This window comes from Homo sapiens, chromosome 7 (genome assembly GCF_000001405.40).
Source record: "Homo sapiens chromosome 7, GRCh38.p14 Primary Assembly".
Classification (NCBI taxonomy): Eukaryota; Metazoa; Chordata; class Mammalia; order Primates; family Hominidae; genus Homo; species Homo sapiens.
The window spans coordinates 54,494,692-54,516,829 of NC_000007.14; the positions used below are offsets into that span (position 1 = coordinate 54,494,692).

Sequence of the window (22,138 nt, forward strand, 5' to 3'; positions counted from 1 at the left end):
AATCATATCAATGAGCTTTTAATGCTCACTTATATTAAAATCCATTGGTTTATATTTCACTCTGAATGGATAGTTACCCACATATGATATGTAATAGTGTGTATTGGTAATTGGGAAATTATTGACTCATTGAGTTATTCAGATCTTCCAAATGTTGACACATTTATTAGTAACACCACCAATCTCATCAGAAGTGTCTTTTAATGGGAAACTGTCATGCGCACCATACAAGTTTTTCAAAATTTTAATTTTCACTAGTGCTAGTTGTTTTTCTCAGTGACATGCTTCTTTCAATTTTTTTAAAATGAAAAATTTAAATGTCTGCCAAATACTAAGAATGATGTGACTGACATTTTGAAAGAATCACACTGGCTGTTTTGTGGAGAATATACAGATGGGGGTGGACTACCAAGTGGAAATAGGGAGCTTTTTGTTGAGTGTGAAAAGAAGCCAGCAGTCAAGGATGATGTCAAGGCTTTCAGACTTTAAGAATGAATGACTATAGTTTATATACCCGTTGCTACGTCAAGTTAAAAAAAAGTTTCTATGAAAAGTAGCTGGTTTAGCTCACAGCTTGAACAATTGCACAGATGCTTTTTCTTGAGAAAACGGTGGTTTTCTGTTATGCAACAGAATTGTATAGTTTCCATTTTGTCAAACAGAACTTAAAAAGGCTTGTACTCAAAGATTGATAATTAATAGAACTAATAATATTAACTGCTTTATCCAGCATAGTCTTAAGTAAAACTCTTTTTAGAAAACAGAGTGTGTGGAGGAATAGAGTGCCATGACCACTACTGCAATGCGTGTGATTGCCTGACATGTGCTGAGGTCTGGTGGATTTACCCACCATTGCTTTTCACCATCATTTCAGATGTCACCACAGTAAAAAGGCAAATACTGTCTTGGTGTTGCTATGGAAATAGTTTTGACCTCACTTGACCCCCAGAGGTATTGGGATCTCTCATGTGTTCATGAACTGCATTTTACGGGCTACTGAGTCAGAGACATGCTCTGGTCTGGTTTATGGAGTGGGCCTTGACAGCCAGGTAAAAGTTAGTAACCGCCTGATGTGACTGACATTTTGAAAGAATCACACTGGCTGTTTTGTGGAGAATATACAGATGGGGGTGGACTACCAAGTGGAAATAGGGAGCTTTTATAACAAAAAGATGATTGTAATTTAAACTAGGAGGATAGTAAAGGAGAAAGTAAGAAGTCAGATGTGGATATGTTTGGTCAGATGTGGATATGTTTGAAGCAGTGCCTACATGTTTTTTTCATGGATTGAATATTGAGTATGAAAAGAAGAGAGCAGTCAAGGATGATGTCAAGGCTTTTAGACTAAAAAACTGTGAATACCAGTGGCATTTGCTGAGATAAGGAAGGCTAAAAGGGGACCATATTTGAAGAAAGAAAGCAAGAATCCGCTCTAAGTGTCATTGGGTTTGAGATACTAGTTACACATTTACATGGAGATAAATTATATTGTCTAAAGTTCAGGGGAGAGATTGGCAACAGAGTTGCAGATTTTGGAGTTAACACCATATAGATGGTACTTCAAACTGTGAGACTGGATAAAATCACTTAATGAGTTAATGTATATGAGAAAAGAAGGAAAAAGAAGAAGAGAAGACTTCTAAGAACTAAGTCATGAGAAATGTATCATATACTGCTTTGTTCTAACTGGGACAGTTTTGAAAGTTGAAGAAGGCACTAAAAACAATTCAAAATATATATTTTTAGTCTATCGGTTTCTTGACTGAATTAAATGGATTTAATTTGTAGTCATACAAAAATAGTTGTATTTATAATTATTTTCGAAATAAAATTATTTCAAAAAAATAAAAAATAACATATTTGTGGGCATTAAAACAAAATTTTACAAATTTTCTATATATTGTTCATCTGCAAAATCAAAGTAACACAAACAGTATACTTGTTCTTTGTAATTTTCATGTATTTGAATAAACTTCTTAACTTTCTTCTGTAATATGATGGCAAGAACATTTTTTTCTGAAAAACCTTCTGCATCTTCTACAACTGCATGGTTCAGTCATCACTTTTGGCCATAATCTTTCTAAAGTGACTTTAATAAAAGAACTTTAAAGGATTTGGATCTTCTAATTGCTACGTAACCAATGCTACCATAGCTCCTATGATTAGTAAATATCAGCATGCATTTTATGCAAGTTACATGCTCATCATCAAGTTTCCTGAGGCATGTAAATTCAGTGACAGGTAACATGTATTTTTTAAAGCCTTTTGCTGCTACAAAGGATTACTGCAAGGGATCAAAAAGTCCTAAGACAATAGAATTAATAATTGCAGATTTACACCATGCAACAAATGACAAATGACTAAAGCAAGTGTATTCATCTTGCCCCCATAACTCTACAGAAGACTGCCTACCTTCTGTGTCCCCTTCACACATTTTAAAACCCATTAGTCTTCAGAGGAATCCTGACTCGTTGTGGCCTGGCAGCTTTATGCAACCCTTCAGCTGAGGCATGGGTCCTGGACGATTCATTGAGTGGCCAGCAAAAGCACAACATGCAGTGGCTGTCACACCACTGCGTCCAGAGGTGATAGCTTTCTCTAGCCATGTGTGTCAGATGCACTTGACTTTATCAGGGAGCATCTACCATGCTGTTCTCAAAAAGGAGGTATTAGCTATATTGTACCTGTAAAGGGTCAGGAGAAGAGAGATGGGTTATCATGGATCCTATTTTAGCTTTAATTGCACGATAAAAGGAGGAATTCATTCACTGTACATGCATCTTACACACAGCTGGACAAGACCATGGAACGTGGAAGAGTGAATGAAAATCCCCATTGCTCTGCATCATAGCCAGCACTTGGTTTTTCCCCTGTTTACTCATACTGGTGAATGAAAAGCAACATTTAATGGTGGTTTTAATTTGTGTTTCCCTGATGCCAGGGCCAGGAGTAAGGTGACACAATGGAATACCATCTCAGGCACAAAATTTAGGAGAAAGAACACCAATAAACTGAGTAATCAAGATAAATAATACTGGTAATGTAATAATTGAAAAAATAAATTAATGCAAGAAATCTATGTGGAATAAAATATCAAAATTTTAACTAAATATGTGCTATGCTGGCAAGGATGGGGAAAAACATTTAATATAATGTTAGTGTAGGTCTTTGGTAGAAAGCCTTACAGGATCAGATCGGATCACTTTCTATCTATTCTTAGACTCCACATCTATCTACTGAGATGACCATATGGTTTGTCTCCTTTATTAAAAATTAATATTCAATTTTTAAACCAAACATTCTCCATTAATAAGCCCAACTTTACTGTAAGATACTGATCTCTTCACATATCACTGGATTCATTTTGCTAAGATTTGAGTAGAATTCTTGTCCCTATGTATCTGAGAGGATGGCCTATGACTTTTCTTTCCTTGTCAGCCTTTGGTATCAAGATTACGTTAGCCTCATAAAATGAGAGAGAAATTTTCCCACTTAAATTATTTGGAAGATTGTGTAAAATTGGTATTATTTCTCCCTTAAATGTTAAAGAAAATTCAACAGTGAAGACATTTGGGTAGAAAAGTGTCTTCCGAATCAACTTGTTTGTAGATACAGTACTATGCAAACTTTCTGTTTCTTGTGGTGGCTTCGTGAAATGTGTTTTCAAGGAATGTGTTTTCCATTTTATCTATGGTGTGTAATTGGCAAAAAGGTGTTATAATATCCTCTTCGAGTCAGGTTAATACCTGTAGGTTCTATAGTGATAAACTTGTTTCATTTCTGATATTGATAATTTGCTTTTTTTTCTGTTTTTTTCTGCACCAGTCTTGCTAGGAGTTTATTGATTTTACTAAACTTTAAAAACACAAGTTTTAGCTTCTTGGTTGAGTTTCTGTATTGTATATTTCTTTTCTATTTCATTTTTTAAATTTTATTCTTACATTTTATTCCATGTTGATGACTTAATCTGCTGTCTCTTACTAACTTCTTAAGATGAAAATAGATTGTTGATTTTCAACATTTTTTCTTTTCTTTTTTTTATTTTATTATTATTATACTTTAAGTTTTAGGGTACATGTGCACAATGTGCAGGTTTCTTACATATGTATACATGTGCCATGTTGGTGTACTGCACCCACTAACTGGGCATTTAGCATTAGGTATATCTCCTAATGCTATCCTTCTCCCCTCCCCCCACCCCACAACAGTCCCCGGAGTGTGATGTTCCCCTTCCTGTGTCCACGTGTTCTCATTGTTCAATTCCCATGTATGAGAGAGAACATGCAGTGTTTGGTTTTTTGTCCTTGCGATAGTTTGCTGAGAATGATGATCTCCAGTTTCATCCATGTCCCTACAAAGGACATGAACTCATCATTTTTTATGGCTGCATAGTATTCCATGGTGTATATGTGACACATTTTCTTAATCCAGTCTATCATTGTTGGACATTTGGGTTGGTTCCAAGTCTTTGCTATTGTGAATAGGGCTGCAATAAACATACGTGTGCAGGTGTCTTTATAGCAGCATGATTTATAACCCTTTGGGGATATACCCAGTAATGGGATGGCTGGGTCAAATGGTATTTCTAGTTCTAGATACTTGAGGAATCGCCACACTGACTTCCACAATGGTTGAACTAGTTTACAGTCCCACCAACAGTGTAAAAGTGTTCCTATTTCTCCACATCCTCTCCAGCACCTGTTGTTTCCTGACTTTTTAATGATCGCCATTCTAACTGGTGTGAGATGGTATCCCATTGTGGTTTTGATTTGCATTTCTCTGATGGCCAGTGATGATGAGCATTTTTTCACGTGTCTTTTGGCTGCATAAATGTCTTCTGTTAAGAAGTGTCTGTTCACATCCTTTGCCCACTTTTTGATGGGGTTGTTTGTTTTTTTCTTGTAAATTTGTTTGTGTTCATTGTAGATTCTGGGTATTAGCCCTTTGTCAGATGAGTAGATTGCAAAAATTTTCTCCCATTTTATAAGTTGCCTATTCAGTCTGATGGTAGTTTCTTTTGCTGTGCAGAAGCTCTTAAGTTTAATTAGATCCCATTTGTCAATTTTGGCTTTTGTTGCCATTGCTTTTGGTGTTTTAGACATGAAGTCCTTGCCATGCCTATGTCCTGAATGGTATTGCCTAGGTCTTCTTCTAGGGTTTTTATGGTTTCAGGTCTAACATGTAAGTCTTTAATCCATCTTGAATTAATTTTTGTATAAGGTGTAAGGAAGGGATCCAGTTTCAGCTTTCTACATATGGCTAGCCAGTTTTCCAAAGCACCATTTATTAAATAGGGAATCCTTTCCCCATTGCTTGTTTTTCTCAGGTTCGTCAAAGATCAGATAGTTGTAGATATGCAGCATTATTTCTGAGGGCTCTGTTCTGTTCCATTGATCTATATCTCTGTTTTGGTACCAATACCATGCTGTTTTGGTTACTGTAGCCTTGTAGTATAGTTTGAGGTCAGGTAGCGTGATGCCTCCAGCTTTGTTCTTTTGGCTTAGGATTGACGTGGCGATGAGGGCTCTTTTTTGTTTCCATATGAATTTTAAAGTAGTTTTTTCCAATTCTGTGAAGAAAGTCATTGGTAGCTTGATAGGGATGGCATTGAATCTGTAAATTACCTTGGGCAGTATGGCCATTTTCACAATATTGATTCTTCCTACCCATGAGCATGGAATGTTCTTCCATTTGTTTGTATCCTCTTTTATTTCATTGAGCAGTGGTTTGTAGTTCTCCTTGAAGAAGTCCTTCACATCCCTTGTAAGTTGGATTCCTAGGTGTTTTATTCTCTTTGAAGCAATTGTGAATGGGATTTCACTCATGATTTGGCTCTCTGTTTGTCTGTTATTGATGTATAAGAATGCTTGTGCTTTTTGTACATTGATTTTGTATTCTGAGACTTTGCTGAAGTTGCTTATCAGCTTAAGGAGATTTTGGACTGAGACAATGGGGTTTTCTAGATATACAATCATGTCATCTGCAAACAGGGACAATTTGACTTCCTCTTTTCCTAATTGAATACCCTTTATTTCCTTCTTCTGCCTAATTGCCCTGGCCGGAACTTCCAACACTGTGTTGGATAGGAGTGGTGAGAGAGGGCATCCCTGTCTTGTGCCAGTTTTCAAAGGGAATGCTTCCAGTTTTGGCCCATTCAGTATGATATTGGCTGTGGGTTTGTCATAGATAGCTCTTATTATTTTGAGATACGTCCTATCAATACCTAATTTATTGAGAGTTTTTAGCATGAAGCATTGTTGAATTTTGTCAAAGGACTTCTCTGCATCTATTGAGATAATCATGTGGTTTTTGTCTTTGGTTCTGTTTATATGCTGGATTACATTTATTGATTTGCATATGTTGAACCAGCCTTGCATCCCAGGGATGAAGCCCACTTGATCATCGTGGATAAGCTTTTTGATGTGCTGCTGGATTCGGTTTGCCAGTATTTTATTGAGGATTTTTGCATCAATGTTCATCATGGATATTGGTCTAAAATTCTCTTTTTTGGTTGTGTCTCTGCCAGGCTTTGGTATCAGGATGATGCTGGCCTCATAAAATGAGTTAGGGAGGATTCCCTCTTTTTCTATTGATTGGAATAGTTTCAGAAGGAATGGTACCAGCTCCTCCTTGTACCTCTGGTAGAATTCGGCTGTGAATCCATCTGGTCCTGGACTCTTTTTGTTGGTAACCTATTGATTATTGCCACAATTTCAGAGCCTGTTATTTGTCTATTCAGAGATTCAACTTCTTCCTGGTTTAGTCTTGGGAAAGTGTTTGTGTCGAGGAATTTATCCATTTATTCTAGATTTTCTAGTTTATTTGTGTAGAGGTGTTTGTAGTATTCTCTGATGCTAGTTTGTATTTCTGTGGGATCAGTGGTGATATTCCCTTTATCATTTTTTATTGCATCTATTTCATTCTTCTCTCTTTTCCTCTTTATTAGTCTTGCTAGCGGTCTATCAATTGTGTTGATCTTTTCAAAAAACCAGCTCCTGGATTCATTAATTTTTTGAAGGGTTTTTTTGTGTCTCTATTTCCTTCAGTTCTGCTCTGATTTTAGTTATTTCTTGCCTTCTGCTAGCTTTTGAATGTGTTTCCTCTTGCTTTTCTAGTTCTTTTAATTGTGATTTTAGGGTGTCAATTTTGGATCTTTTCTGCTTTCTCTTGTGGGCATTTAGTGCTATAAATTTCCCTCTACACACTGCTTTGAATGTGTCCCAGAGATTCTGGTATGCTGTGTCTTTGTTCTCGTTGGTTTCAAAGAACATCTTTATTTCTGCCTTCATTTTGTTATGTACCCAGTAGTCATTCAGGAGCAGGTTGTTCAGTTTCCATGTAGTTGAGTGGTTTTGAGTGAGTTTCTTAATCCTGAGTTCTAGTTTGATTGCACTGTGGTCTGAGAGACGGTTTGTTATAATTTCTGTTCTTTTCCATTTGCTGAGGAGTGCTTTATTTCCAACTATGTGGTCAATTTTGGAATAGGTGTGGTGTGGTGCTGAAAAAAATGTATATTCTGTTGATTTGGGGTGGAGAGTTCTGTAGATGTCTATTAGGTCCACTTGGTGCAGAGCTGAGTTCAATTCCTGGGTATCCTTGTTAACCTTCTGTCTCATCGATCTGTCTAATGTTGACAGTGGGGTATTAAGGTCTCCCATTATTATTGTGTGGGAGTCTAAGTCTCTTTGTAGGTCACTCAGGACTTGCTTTATGAATCTGGGTGCTCCTGTATTGGGTGCATATATATTTAGGATAGTTAGCTCTTCTTGTTGAATTGATCCCTTTACCATTATGTAATGGCCTTCTTTGTCTCTTTTGATCTTTGTTGGTTTAAAGTCTGTTTTATCAGAGACTAGGATTGCAAGCCCTACCTTTTTTTGTTTTCCATTTGCTTGGTAGATCTTCCTCCATCCCTTTATTTTGAGCCTATGTGTGTCTCTGCACGTGAGATGGGTTTCCTGAATACAACACACTGATGGGTCTTGACTCTTTATCCAATTTGCCAGTCTGTGTCTTTTAACTGGAACATTTAGCCCATTTACGTTTAAAGTTAATATTGTTATGTGTGAATTTGATCCTGTCATTATGATGTTAGCTGGTTATTTTGCTCGTTAGTTGATGCAGTTTCTTCCTAGCCTTGATGGTCTTTACAATTTGGCATGTTTTTGCAGTGGCTGGTACCGGTTGTTCCTTTCCATGTTTAGTGCTTCCTTCAGGAGCTCTTTTAGGGCAGGCCTGGTGGTGACAAAATCTCTCAGCGTTTGCTTGTCTGTAAAGGATTTTATTTCTCCTTCACTTATGAAGCTTAGTTTCTCTGGATATGAAATTCTGGGTTGAAAATTCTTTTCTTTAAGAATGTTGAATATTGGCCCCCACTCTCTTCTGGCTTGTAGAGTTTCTGCTGAGAGATCAGCTGTTAGTCTGATGGGCTTCCCTTTGTGGGTAACCCGACCTTTCTCTCTGGCTGCTCTTAACATTTTTTCCTTCATTTCAACTTTGGTGAATCTGACAATTATGTGTCTTGCAGTTGCTCTTCTCCAGGCGTTCTCTGTATTTCCTGAAGCTGAATGTTGGCCTGCCTTGCTGGATTGGGGAAGTTCTCCTGGATAATATCCTGCAGAGTGTTTTCCAACTTTGTTCCATTCTCCCCGTCACTTTCAGGTACACCAATCAGACGTAGATTTGGTCTTTTCACATAGTCCCATATTTCTTGGAGACTTTGTCGTTTCTTTTTATTCTTTTTTCTCTAAACTTCCCTTCTTGCTTCATTTCATTCATTTCATCTTCCATGACTGATACCCTTTCTTCCATTTGATCGCATCAACTCCTGAGGCTTCTGCATTCTTCACGTAGTTCTCAAGCCTTGGCTTTCAGCTCCATCAGTTCCTTTAAGCACTTCTCTGCATTGGTTACTCTAGTTATACATTCATCTCATTTTTTTTCAAAGTTTTTAACTTCTTTGCCATTAGTTTGAATTTCCTCCTGTAGCTCAGAGTAGTTTGATCGTCTGAAGCCTTCTTCTCTCAACTCGTCAAAGTCATTCTCCGTCCAGCTTTGTTCCATTGCTGGTGAGGAACTGCATTCCTTTGGAGGAGGGGAGGTGCTCTGCTTTTTAGAGTTTCCAGTTTTTCTGCTCTGTTTTTTCCCCATCTTTGTGGTTTTATCTACTTTTGGTGTTTGATGATGGTGACATACAGATGGGTTTTTGGTGTGGATGTCCTTTCTGTTTGTTAGTTTTCCTTCTAACAGACAGGACCCTCAGCTGCAGGTCTGTTGGAGTTTGCTAGAGGTCCACTCCAGACCCTGTTTTCCTGGGTACCAGCAGCGGTGGCTGCAGAACAGCCGTGGCTGTAGAACAGCAGATTTTCGTGAACTGCAAATGCTGCTGCCTGATCGTTCCTCTGGAAGTTTTGTCTCAGAGGAGTACCCCACCGTGTGAGGTGTCAGTCTGCCCCTACTAGGGGGTGCCTCCCAGTTAGGCTGCTCAGGGGTCAGGGACCCACTTGAGGAGGCAGTCTGCCCATTCTCAGATCTCCAGCTGCATGCTGGGAGAACCACTACTCTCTTCAAAGCTGTCAGACAGGCACGTTTAAGTCTGCAGAGGTTACTGCTGTCTTTTTGTTTGTCTGTGCCCTGCCCCCAGAGGTGGAGCCTACAGAGGCAGGCAGGCCTCCTTGAGCTGTGGTGGGCTCCACCCAGTTCAAGCTTCCCCACTGCTTTGTTTACCTAAGCAAGCCTGGGCAATGGTGGGCACCCCTCCCCCAGCCTCACTGCCGCCTTGCAGTTTGATCTCAGACTGCTGTGCTAGCAATCAGTGAGACTCCGTGGACATAGGACCCTCTGAGCCAGGTGCAGGATATAATCTCCTGGTGTGCCATTTTTTAAGCCCATTGGAAAAGCGCAGTATTGGGGTGGGAGTGACCCAATTTTCCAGGTGCCGTCTGTCACCCCTTTCTTTGACTAGGAAAGGGAACTCCCTGACCCCTTGCACTTCCCGAGTGAGGCAATGCCTCGCCCTGCTTCGGCTCGCGCACGGTGCGCTGCATGCACTGTCCTGCACCCACTTTCTGGCACTCCCTAGTGACATGAACCCAGTACCTCAGATGGAAATGCAGAAATCACCTGTCTTCTGCGTCACTCACGCTGGGAGCTGTAGACTGGAGCTGTTCCTCTTAGGCCATCTTGGCTCCACCGAGTCTGAACATTTCTAAGAGCCATTTTTTTCTTCTCTTATATGTGCATTTAAAATAAGCCATAAATTTCCTCTCAAACATTGTTTCAACTCTCTCTCACGTGAAATTTATATGCTTTGCTTTTCTATAACTCATATAAAAAGATTTCAAATTTTTATTGCGATCACTTTTGTGACCTATAGATTTTTAAAAGTTTGTTGCTTAATTTCCAACCATCTAAGGATTTTCTAGTTATCTTTCTGTTATTGGTTTCTGGTTTAATTCCACTATAATCAGAGATTATAACTTGCATTATTATATTTCATTCCTTTGAAATTTACTAAAACCTGCTTTGTGGCCCTGCATAATATAGTTTATTTTGATAAATGACACATGTGCCCATGTGTACTAGAAAGAAATGTGAATGCTACAGTTGTGGGAAGTGGTGTTCTCCATGTGTCAATTAGGTCAAATTATTTAATCCTGTTGTCCAAATCTTCTGTTTTACTGATATTGAGATTGTTCACTCTGCTACTTGTGGTGTGTTGAAATCTCTACTGATGAAAAGATTTCTATTTCTCCTTGTTTCTCTACAATTTTTGTTTAGTATATTTTGATGTTATTAAATACATACAAATTTATTGTTTGATTTCTTCTTGTTAAATTGGCATTTTCATCATTATAAAATCCCCCTCTTTATGTCTAGGAATAATTTAAAGTCTGATTTTTCTGGTAGTACTATAATCACACCATGATTTTACTGGTTACTGCTTTCTTCATACAGTCGATTCTCATTATCCATGTAATTATGCTCTATAAAGTTGCATGAATTAGTGTTAGTTGTGAGCACTGAATTAACAAATATTAAACCATTGTCCCCAGGGGAATTACTGGGTTAGGTTTCTGTGAGCCTCTGATCACAAACATTTCATGAACTGAGCAATACATAACCTTGTTTTATGTGTGTTTCTATATAATGACACCTTACCTAATATGCATTGTTAATTCATTAGCATTAAACGCACAGCCAACTGCACTATCACTCACACTGGCAGGAAGCTTCTCCAACACAGGTATTTTCTGCATAAGGCACATCACAGCCTTCTTGTTCTTGTGAACACCAGAACCTCAGCACTAACCTTGGGAGCAATTTTAAACAGAAAAGTCACCAACACAAAGCACAGAAATGCAAAAAAAATATGGCACTAAGTAGATCATAAAAAGGATACTTCTGAACAATGGAAGAGCTAAAACAAGAAGGCAGAATGGGACCTCATTTGACTTCGTCTGGGAATGTGCCCTTAAGAGACTCAAAATGTTCACCACTCTGCACAGGTTTGAGCACGACTGTGAAAACACAGAATACTGATTTAGGAGTTACAAATACATTTTGACTAGTAGGCAAACTTGGAATCAGTGAATAACGAGGACCACCTTTATATCTTCTTTCCAATCTTTCAATTTAAATCCTTCTGTGGCCTTATATCTAAAGTGTGTCTCTTTTTTATAGAAATGGTTGGATCATGCTCATTTTTTAATAACTATTATGACAATATCTGTTTTCAAACTGGAATGTTAGTACATTCAAAATTTATGTCATTTTTAATATAGTGCATTTTGAGCCTATCATCTTTCTATTCCCTTTGTAATTGTTTTACTTATTCTGTGCCCCCTTACTCCATCTTTTTTTGGGGGGGTTAATTATTATTTATTTTGCCTACATTTTATATTATGAAAATGTTATCTTAGTAGTACTCTATATAATTACAGTATTAGTAGTTTTTTTTTCTTATTATAATCTACCTTAAATTGGTGCATTACAAACTTTCCAAGGAGTGCAAGAGTCTTGAAACATTGCTTGCAGGGGAAGAGGCTCCTGTAATATTCCAATAGCACAAACCCCTTTCAACACTGAAAAGTCATTTACATTCCCTTCCCAATTCATCATCATGTCAAACAACACTTGGCTGTTTACAGAGAGACTGCATTTTACAGAGATCAGCTGAGTGTTTCATTATATTTTTATTATATTGCATTATGCAGATTCTACTATAAGGGAGACTGCTCAGACATGTTCTTCTGGTTACCCAACATCAATACATCAAAGATGAGGTAAATATTAGTAAATATTAATATTACATAGAACCTACAAAACAAACTTGTATAAAGTTTTAAAAACTCCCTTAAACTATATATTAATTGCAAAATAAATTATGAAATGCTTGTATAACACTGAGCAATTTCTATAATTAAATTGTAGTAATTTGTAATATAATTATACTCTAAGATTGGAGTGCTAAAAGATTTAGTTTAGCTCTGAAGAAATGATTTGGATGCTTCTGTGGTTTTGTTGGTTGGTTGTCTCTCCAAACCTCACAGAGGAATTTGATCCCTAATGTTAGAGTTCAGGCCTAGCAGGAGGTGTTTGGGTCATAGGGTGAACCCCTCATGAATGGCTTGGTGCCATCATGGTGGTAATGAATGAGTATCACTCTGTAAGCTCCTGGGAGAGCTGGTTGTTAACAAGAGCCCGGCACCTCCCGCCATGTTGCTTCCTCTCTCACCATGTGATCTCTGCACACACTGGCTCCCCTTGGCCTTCAGTTATGAGTGGAAACAGCCCAAGGACCTCACCAGAAGCCAAGCGGATGCCAGAGTCACACTTCCTGTACAGCCTGCAGAACCATGAGCCAAATAAACCTCTTTTCTTTATAAATTACCCAGCCTCAAGTATTCCTTCACAGCAACCCCAAATGGGCTAAGACAGATGCCTTTTCAGCTTTTTTTTTCTCTGTGATAGAAAATTTCTGACTCCAGATATTTAAATAAAAGACCTAAAACTGCCATAGCAGGAGGTCTACAAAAAGTAGAATGAGAGAGAAGCAGCAGGAAGGTATTCATTACTGATGATCATTACTGATATCCAAGCATTTGTTTATGGTGACTTGTCTTTTCTTCTTTACTTGACTCTATTTGTAGTCCATATTTTGTAAACCATTATCTGTATCATTCACATTTTCTAATGTTTTGCATAGGTTTGTACATTTTATTTTCAAACATACATGCATATGCATTTTATTGTGAAACAAAAAATTTACTATAGAAAATTAGAAAATACATTAGCAAAATTAAAAATAAGTCGCCATTAAGTATCCAAGAGAATCACAGTTAAACTTTAGAAGATACATTTTATCAGTCAAGTTATGTCTGTTCAATCTAATTATTTCAAAAGAGGTAATATTCATTTTGATTCAGCTTTATATTTTTATACTGTAATATGTTTGGCTGATAAATCAAATTATAAAAAGATAAATTCAATATAAAATTATTTAAGATTTTTAAAATAACAATAAAATGTATATTGTGGGTACATACATATTTAGGAAATATATTAAAAATAAATAAAAATTATAGTCCTTGAATAGCAATGAATAAAAAGTACCAATAGAAAGGAGTGAAGGTATAGAGGTTTTTAATTCTATCTGTAAGATTTCTTAAACAAAAAGAGGGAGAGATTTGAAGCAAGTATGACAAAATGTGTCATGTCTAGCTAATGAGTATGTTGTTGCTTTTATTATTTTCTGGGTATTTCTATGTTCTTAAAATAATTTCTTATTGAAAATATTAAATTAAGCAAATAAAAAGAACCAGGACTAGAATATACTTATCAATTCTACTTTTTCTACTTTATAATTTAACAATTATTTCTTTAAAATTCCATCCCTCCACTCACTTTTAAGAAGTTTCATATATGATCATTTTTAAATTTAAATGTAGAATTAATTCATTTTTTTCAATTTCTTGATTAGTAAGACAAGTTTTTGTTGTTGTTGTTGTTGTTGTTGTTGTTTGTACTCATCCATGTTTCTGTTTATATATACTATAACAAATTCAGGAACAATGGGAAAGTAATATATGAAACCTTAATAAGAAATACAATAGAGATTACAAAACACCACCATTTGATTTTTTATGCAAATACTTCAATATTCCAAGTAAGACAAGTTTTTAAATTCAGAAAATTTTCCTCTCGGTACACCTTTAGAAAATTTCATGTGTTTTGGCATGTAGCATTCTTACAGTCTGTTTTATACTTAAGATATTTTACATCACAACCATTTGCTTTTGGATCATCCAGTAAGCATTGATTTTTGCCTTACCTCATTCAATTTGTCAGATTCTCTATTAAATATTTACATAATTCATCTCACTTAATTCTCTCCAAAATCCTCAAAATTATTTCTTAAATAACAGAATCCAAAATCTCTTTCCAATAATGTGACAAATTAATGGAGAATTCTAATATAAATGTTCAAGTTGCAAGATTTTTATAACCACTAGCACTGTTTACAATTTGCCTATATTAAAAAGGACATCAAATAAGTCAGTGAAAGCCCACACTAAAAATTCACTTATTCAAAAAACAGTAAAATACAAGTAGGATTTCTTTGCCTTTTTAATTTTTTTCCCAATTGCATTATCATATTTTCATGGCACACAATTTTTAACACAATTAAAGTATTTCCAGAACACCAATGGTAAAATCACAGAAATTTTCACACAAGAAACAAAGGTGGAACACACAGAAAATTATGTATTGCCTCTCATTTTGTTGTTGATTCTTTGTGAAAACAATTGAAATACTTCTTTTGAAGTATCTAAATTATTTACAAGTTTAAATTACCCTACAACTTTTAATGTAGCTCCAATACTGAATTTTTCAGTGCTATACATCCCTACCAAGAAAAACAATGGAGAAAACCTCACCAACATTACTTCTCACAAAAATAACCAAATTTTTTTCCATAAGTTTTTGGGGTACAGGTGGTATTTGGTTACATGAGTAAGTTCTTTAGTGATGATTTGTGAGATTTTGGTGCACTTATCACCTGAGCAGTACACACTGCACCATATTCGTAGGTTTTTATCCATCGCCGCCCCCACTCTTCCCACACCACAAATCCCCAAAGTCCGTTGTATCATTTTTATGCCTTGCATCCTCATAGCTTAGATCTGACATATCAGAGAGAACACACAATTTTTGGTTTTCCATTACAGAGTTACTTCACTTAGAATAATACTTTCCAGTCTCATCCAGGTCACAGCAAATGCTGTTAATTCATTCCTTTTATGGCTGCGTAGTATGCCATCATACATATATACCACAGTTTCTTTATCCACTCGTTGATTGATGGACATTTGGCTTGGTTCCCGATTTTGCAATTGTGAATTGTGGTGCTATAAACATGCATGTGCAAGTATCTTTTTCAAATAATGACTTCTTTTCCGCTGTGTAGATACCCAGTAATGGGATTGCTGGATCGAATAGTTGATCTACTTTTAGTTCTTTAAGGAATCTTCTCACGGTTTTCCATAGAGGTCGTACTAGTTTGCATTCCCACTAGCAGTGTAGAAGTGTTCCCTGTTCACTGCATCCATGCCAACATCTGGTTTTGATTTGCATTTCCATGATCATTAGTAATGTTGAGTATTTTTTCATGTTTGTTGGCCATTAGTATATTTTCTTTTGAGAATTATCTATTCATGTCCTTAGCCCACTTTGCGATGGGATTGTTTGTTTTTTTCTTACTGATTTGTTTGAGTTTGTTGTAGATTCTGGATATTAGTTCTTTGTCAGATATATAGATTGTGAAGATTTTTTCCCACTCTATGGGTTGTCTGTTTACTCCTCTGACTATTCCTTTTGCCGTGCAAAAGCTGTTTAGTTTAATTAGGTCCCAGCTATTTATCTTTGTTTTTATTGCATTTGCTTTTGGGTTCTTTGTCATGAAATCCTTGCCTACGCCAATGTCTAGTAGGGTTTTTCCAATGTTATTTTCTAGAATTTTTAGTTTCAGGTCTTAGGTTTAGGTCCTTAATCCATTTGGAGTTGATTTTTGTATAAGGTGAGAGATGAGGATCCAGTGTCATTCTCCTACATGTGGTTAGCCAATTACCCCAGCAGCAATTGTTGAAAAGGGTGTACTTTCCCCACTTTATGTTTTTGTTTGCTTTGTTAAAGATCAGTTGGCTGTAAGTATTTAGGTTTATTTCTGGGTTCTTTGTCCTGTTCCATTGGTCTATGTGTCTATTTTTATACTAGTGCCACAATGTTTTGGTGACTATGGCCTTATAGTATAATTTGAAATCAGGTAGTATGATGTCTCCAATTTTGTTCTTTTTGCTTAGACTTGCTTTGGCTATGTGGGCTCTTTTTTGGTTCCATATGAATTTCAGAATTTTCTTTTCTAATTATGTGAAGAATGATGGTGGCATTTTGATGGGAATTGCATTAAATTTGAAGATTGCGTTTGGCAGTATGGTCATCTTCACAATATTGATTCTACCCATCCATGAGCATGGGATGTGTTTCCATTTGTTTCTATCATCTATGATTTCTTTCAGCATTGTTTTGTAGTTTTCTTTGTAGAGGTCTTTCAACTCCTTGACTCATTGGTTAGGTATATTCTGAAGTTTTTTTCTTTTTTTTGCAGCTATTATAAAAGGAGTTGGGTTCTTCATTTGATTTTCCACTTGCTCATTGTTGATGTAGAGAAGAGGTACTGATTTGTGTACATTAATCTTGTATCCAGAAACTTTGCTGAATTCTTTCATCAGTTCTAGGAGCTTTCTAGAGGAGTCCTTAGGGTTTTCAAGGTAAACTCTACCAATGTGGACGCCCTTTATTTATTTCTCTTGTCTGCTCTGGCTAGAACTTACAGTACTATCTTGAAGAGGAGAGATGAGATTTGGCAACCTTGTCTTGTTCTAGTTCTCAGAGGGAATGCTTTCAACTTTTTCTTATTCAGTTTTATGTTGACTGTGGGTTTCTCATAGATGGCTTTTATTACATTAAGGTATGTCCCTTGTATGCCAATTTTGCTGAGAGTTTTAATCATAAAGGGATGCTGGATTTTGTCTAATTCTTTTTCTGCATCTATTGACATGACCATGAGATTTTTGTTATTAATTCTGTTTATGTGGTATATCACATTTATTGACTTTCATATGTTAAACCATCCCTACATCCCTGGTATGAAACCCATTTGATCATGGTGGATTATCTTTTTGATATGTTGTTGGATTAGTTTAGCTAGTATTTTGTTAAGGATTTTAGCATTTATGTTCATCAAGGATATCAGTCTGTAGTTTTCTTCTTTGGTTATGTCCTTTTCTGGTTTTGGGATTAGGATAATGCTGGCTTCGTAGAATGAATGGGGGAGGGTTCCTTCTTTCTCTATCTTGTGGAATACCGTCAAAGGGATCAGTACCAATTCTTCTTTGAATGTCTGGTATAATTCAGCTATGAATCCATCTGGTCCTGGAATGTGCTGGCAATTTTTTAATTACCATTTCAATCTCGCTGCTTGTTATTGGTCAGTTTGGGGTATCTAATTCTTCTTGATTTAAGCTAGTAAGGTTGTATTTTTTCCAGGAATTTATCTTTCTCTTCTAGGTTTCCTAGATATGTGCATAAAGGTGTAAATAGTAGCCTTGAATTATCTTTTGTATTTCAGTGGTGTCAGTTGTAATATCTCCTCTTTCTTAGTAAGATTATTTGGATTTTCTCTCGTCTTTTATTTGTTAATCTTGCTAATGGTCTATTAATTTTATTTATCTTTTCAAAGAACAAACTTTTTGTCTTATTTATCTTTTGTATTTTGTTTGTTTTAATTACATTTAATTCTGCTCTGATCTTGGTTATTTCCTTTCTTCTGCTGTGTTTGAGTTTGATTTTTTTCTTGTTTCTCTAGTTCCTTGAGATGTGACCTTACAGTGTCACTGTGTGCTCTTTCAGTCTTTTCAATGTAGGTATTTAGGGCTATGAACTTTCCTCTTAGCACCGCCTTTGCTGTATCCCACAGGTTTCGATAGGTTGTGTCATTATTGTCCTAAAGTTCAAAGAATTTTTTGATTTCCATCTTGATTTCATTTTTGACCCAGTGCTCATTCAGGAGCACGTTATTTAATTTCCATGTATTTGCATGGTTTTGAAGGTTCCTTTTGGAGTTATTTCCAGTTTTATCCCACTGTGGTCTGAGAGAGTGCTTGATATAACTTCAATTTTCTTAAATTTATTAAGGCTTGTTTTATGGCCTACTATATGGTCTATCTTGGAGGAAGTTCCATATGCTGTTGAATAGAATGTGTATTCTGTGGTTGTTGTATGAAACTCTTTGTATATATCTGTTAAGTCAATTTATTCCAGGGTGTAGTTTAAATCCATTGTTTCTTTGTTGACTTTCTGACTTGATGATCTATCTAGTGCTGTCAGTGGAGTACTGAAGTCCCCCACTATCATTGTGTTGCTGTCTATCTCATTTCTGAGGTCTATTAGTAATTGTTTTATAAATTTGGGAGCTCCAATGTTAGGTGCATATATGTTTAGGATTGTGTTATTTTCCTGTTGGACAAGACTTTTTACCATTATATAATGTCCCTCTTGTCTCTTTTAACTGCTGTTGCTTTAAAGTTTTTGTTTTCTGATGTAAGAATAGCTACCCCTGCTCACTTTTGGTGTCCATTTGCATGAAATGCCTTTTTCACTTCTTTACCTTAAGTTTATGTGTGTCCTTATGTGTTAGGTGGGTCTCCTGAAGGCAGCAGATGGTTGGTTGGTGAGTTCTTACCCATTCTGTGGTTCTGTAACTTTCAAGTGGACCATTTAAGCCATTTATCTTCAATGTTAGTATTAAAATGTGAGGTGCCATTGCATTCATCGTGCTCTTTGTTGCCTGTGTACTTTGATTTTTTTGTTTTTTGTTTTTGCTTTTTAACTTGTATTTTTGTTTTATAAGTCCTGTGTGATTTATGCTTTAAAGAGGTTCTGTTTTGTTATGTTCCCAGGATTTGTGTCAAGATTTAGAGCTTTTTTAGTGGTTCTTGTAGTGGTGGCTTGGTAATGGCAAATTCTCTCAGCATTTGTTTGTCTGGAAAAGACTGTATCTTTCCTTCATATATGATGCTTAGTTTCACTGGATACAAAATTCTTGACTGACAATTGTTTCGCTTGAGGAGGGTGAAGATAGGGCCTCTATCCCTTCTAGCTTGTAGGGTTCCTGCTGATAAATCTGCTGTTAACCTGATAGGTTTTCCTTTAGAGGTTACCTGGTGCTTCTGTCTCACAGCTGATAAGCTTCTTTCCTTCATTTTAACTTTGGATAACATGATAACAACGTGCCTAGGCAAAGATCTTTTTGCGATGAATTTCCCAGGTGTTCTTTGTGCTTCTTGTTTTGAATGCCTAGGTCTCTAGCAAGGCATGGGAAGTTTTCCTTGATTATTCCCCAAAATATGTTTTCCAAGCTTTTAGAATTCTCTTCTTCTTCAGGAACACCGATTATTCTCAGATTTGGTCATTTAACATAATCCCAGATTTCTTGGATGCTTTGTTCATGTTTTCTTATTCTTTTTTCTCTGTCTTTGTTGGATTCAGTTAATTCAAAGACCTGGTCTTTCATCTCTGAATTTCTTTCTTCTACTTGTTCAATTCTATTGCTGAGACTTTCTAGAGCATTTTGCATTTCTAAAGGTGTGCCCAAAGTTTCCTAAATTTTTTATTGTTTTTTCTTTAAGCTGTCTATGTCCTTGAATATTTCTCCCTTCACTTCCTGTATCATTTTTTGGATTTCCTTGCATTGGGCTTCGTCTTTCTGGTACCTCTCTGATTAGCTTAATAACCTCCTGAATTCTTTTTCAGGTAAATCAGGGGTTTCTTCTTGGTTTGGATCCATTGCTGGTGAACTAGTGTGGCTTTTAGGGGGTGTTAAAGAGCCTTGTTTTGCCATATTATGAGGGTTGGTTTTCTGGTTCCTTCTTATTAGGGTAGGCTCTGTCAGAGGGAAGGTCTAGGGCTGAAGGCTGTTGTTCAGATTCTTTTGTCCCATGGGGTGTTCCCTTGATGTAGTACTCTCCCCCTTTTCCTATGGATGTGGCTTCCTGTGAGCCAAACTGCAGTGATTGTTTTCTCTCTTCTGGATCTAGCCATCCAGCAAGTCTACCCAGCTCCAAGGTGGTACTAGAGGTTGTCTGCGCAGAGTCCTGTGATGTGAACCATCTATGGGTCTCAGCCATGGATACCAGCACCTGTTCCAGTGGAGGTGGCAGGGGGGTAAAATGGGCTTTGTGAGCATTCTTAGCTTTGGTGGTCTAATGCACTATTTTTGTGCTGGTCGGCCTTCTGCTAGGAGGTAGCACTTTCCAGAAAGCATCACCTGTGGTAGTATGGAGAGGAACCAGTGGTGGGTGGGGTCCTAGAACTCCCAAGACTATATGTCCTTTGTTTTCAGTGACCAGGGTGGATAGGGAAGCACCATCAGGTGGGGGCGGGGCTTGGCGTGTCTGAGCTCAGACTCTCTTTGGGCAGGTCTTGATGCAGCTGCTGTCAGGGGTGGGGGTGAGGTTCCCAGATCAATGGAGTTGTGTACCTAGTCATGCAGGTTGTCACGGAAGTGGGAGAAGGCTGGCAGTCACAGGCCTCACCCACCTCCCACGCAAACCGAAGGGCTGGTCTCGCTCCCTCCATGCCCCCACAATAGCCCTAAATCCATTTCCAGGCAGAGAGCAAGGTGGGCTTGAAAACTTGCTCCAGGCCACCTGCCTCCCAGCTATGAAAGAAAAGCACTTGGTTCCCTTCCCCTGCCTGTGGAGTCTGAACACCAGATTTGAGCCTTCCCCCAAGTTCTGGCCAGGAGGATTCTCATCCCGTTCAAATTGTTTCAATATTCTAATAGAAACATCCTTTTCCCTGTGGAGTTTTACCCCCTGCTCCTCTGGCCATCCTCTGGATAGATCCCTGTGGTGCCAGTAGGAATGGCCTGCTAGTGGGCTAAGCGAGCTCCCAGGACCTTTCTGTTGCTTCCTCTACCCCTGCATTTCACTTGGCTCTCCAAATTGACTCTGCTCCAGGTAAAGTCAGAAATTTCTCCCGCAAACAGACCTACAGCTTCTCTACTGTGGGTGTGCATATAGGAGAGGAGGTTCTCCCTTTCCCACTTCTGCAGTTGGGGTACTCACAGCATTTGGGGTGCCTCCTGGGTCCTGCAGGAACAGTCTGCTTCCTTCAGAGGGTCTGTGGGTCCTCTCAGGATTTCTGGTTTCTTCTTGCAGTCAGTCTGGAGCTAAAATTCACAATGCGAGCCTCCGCAAGCTGCTCTGTATGGATCTGCAATCTAGTCCTGCCTCCCATCTGCCATGCTGATCAATTTTATCAAAAATAACCAAATTGTATGTGACTTACTTAAAACCAAGTGAAAGGAAAATAAAGTCAAATGTTTACAAGTCAAAGTGAATTATATTAATACCAAATTATTATATAGATTTATCAATGAAATTATATTATAGTACTATAAGGTCTAATTTTTTTCTGCGTGTGGATATTCAGTTTTTGCAGCATTATTTGTTGAAGAGACTATCCTTTACCTATTGGGTGTTCTTTGCACCTCTGTTGAAGATGAATTGAGAGTAAATGCACAGATTTGTTTCTGGACTCTCTATTCTGTTACTGGTCTATATGTCTGCTTTAATTATGATAGTTTTGTAGTATTTTGAAATCAGACAGTGTGATACCTCTAGCCTTGATCTGGCTTAAGATTGCTTTGGCTAGCATGGGCATTTTCTGCTTCTATATAAATTTTAGGATTTTTTTTCTATTTATTTCTGTGCAAAATGCCTCTGCAATTTTGATAGGGATTCTATTGAATCTGTGGATTGCCTTCAATAGTATGGAAATTTTAACAATATCAGTTCTTCTAATTCATAAATATAAGTCTTTACATTTGTTTGTGTCTTTAATTTTTTTCACAAATGTCTTATAGTTTTCAGTGTGCATAACTTTTACTTCCATTTATTCTTAAATGATTTACTCTTCTTGATGCTATTATAAATGAAATTATTTTCTTGATTTCTTTTTCAGATAATTTGTTATTAACATAGAGAAATGCAACCGATTTCTGTATATTGATTTT

General features: G+C 37.1%; 1 annotated feature.

Annotated features, from left to right (window-relative positions):
• Positions 20,097-21,296: an enhancer, noted in NCBI's record as "BRD4-independent group 4 enhancer chr7:54582481-54583680 (GRCh37/hg19 assembly coordinates)". NCBI's record gives its function as "activates an origin of replication core promoter dependent on BRD2, P300/CBP, MED14 and CDK7 cofactors, and independent of BRD4, by STARR-seq in HCT116 cells {active_cell/tissue: HCT116}" and the evidence as "EXISTENCE:reporter gene assay evidence [ECO:0000049][PMID:35650434]".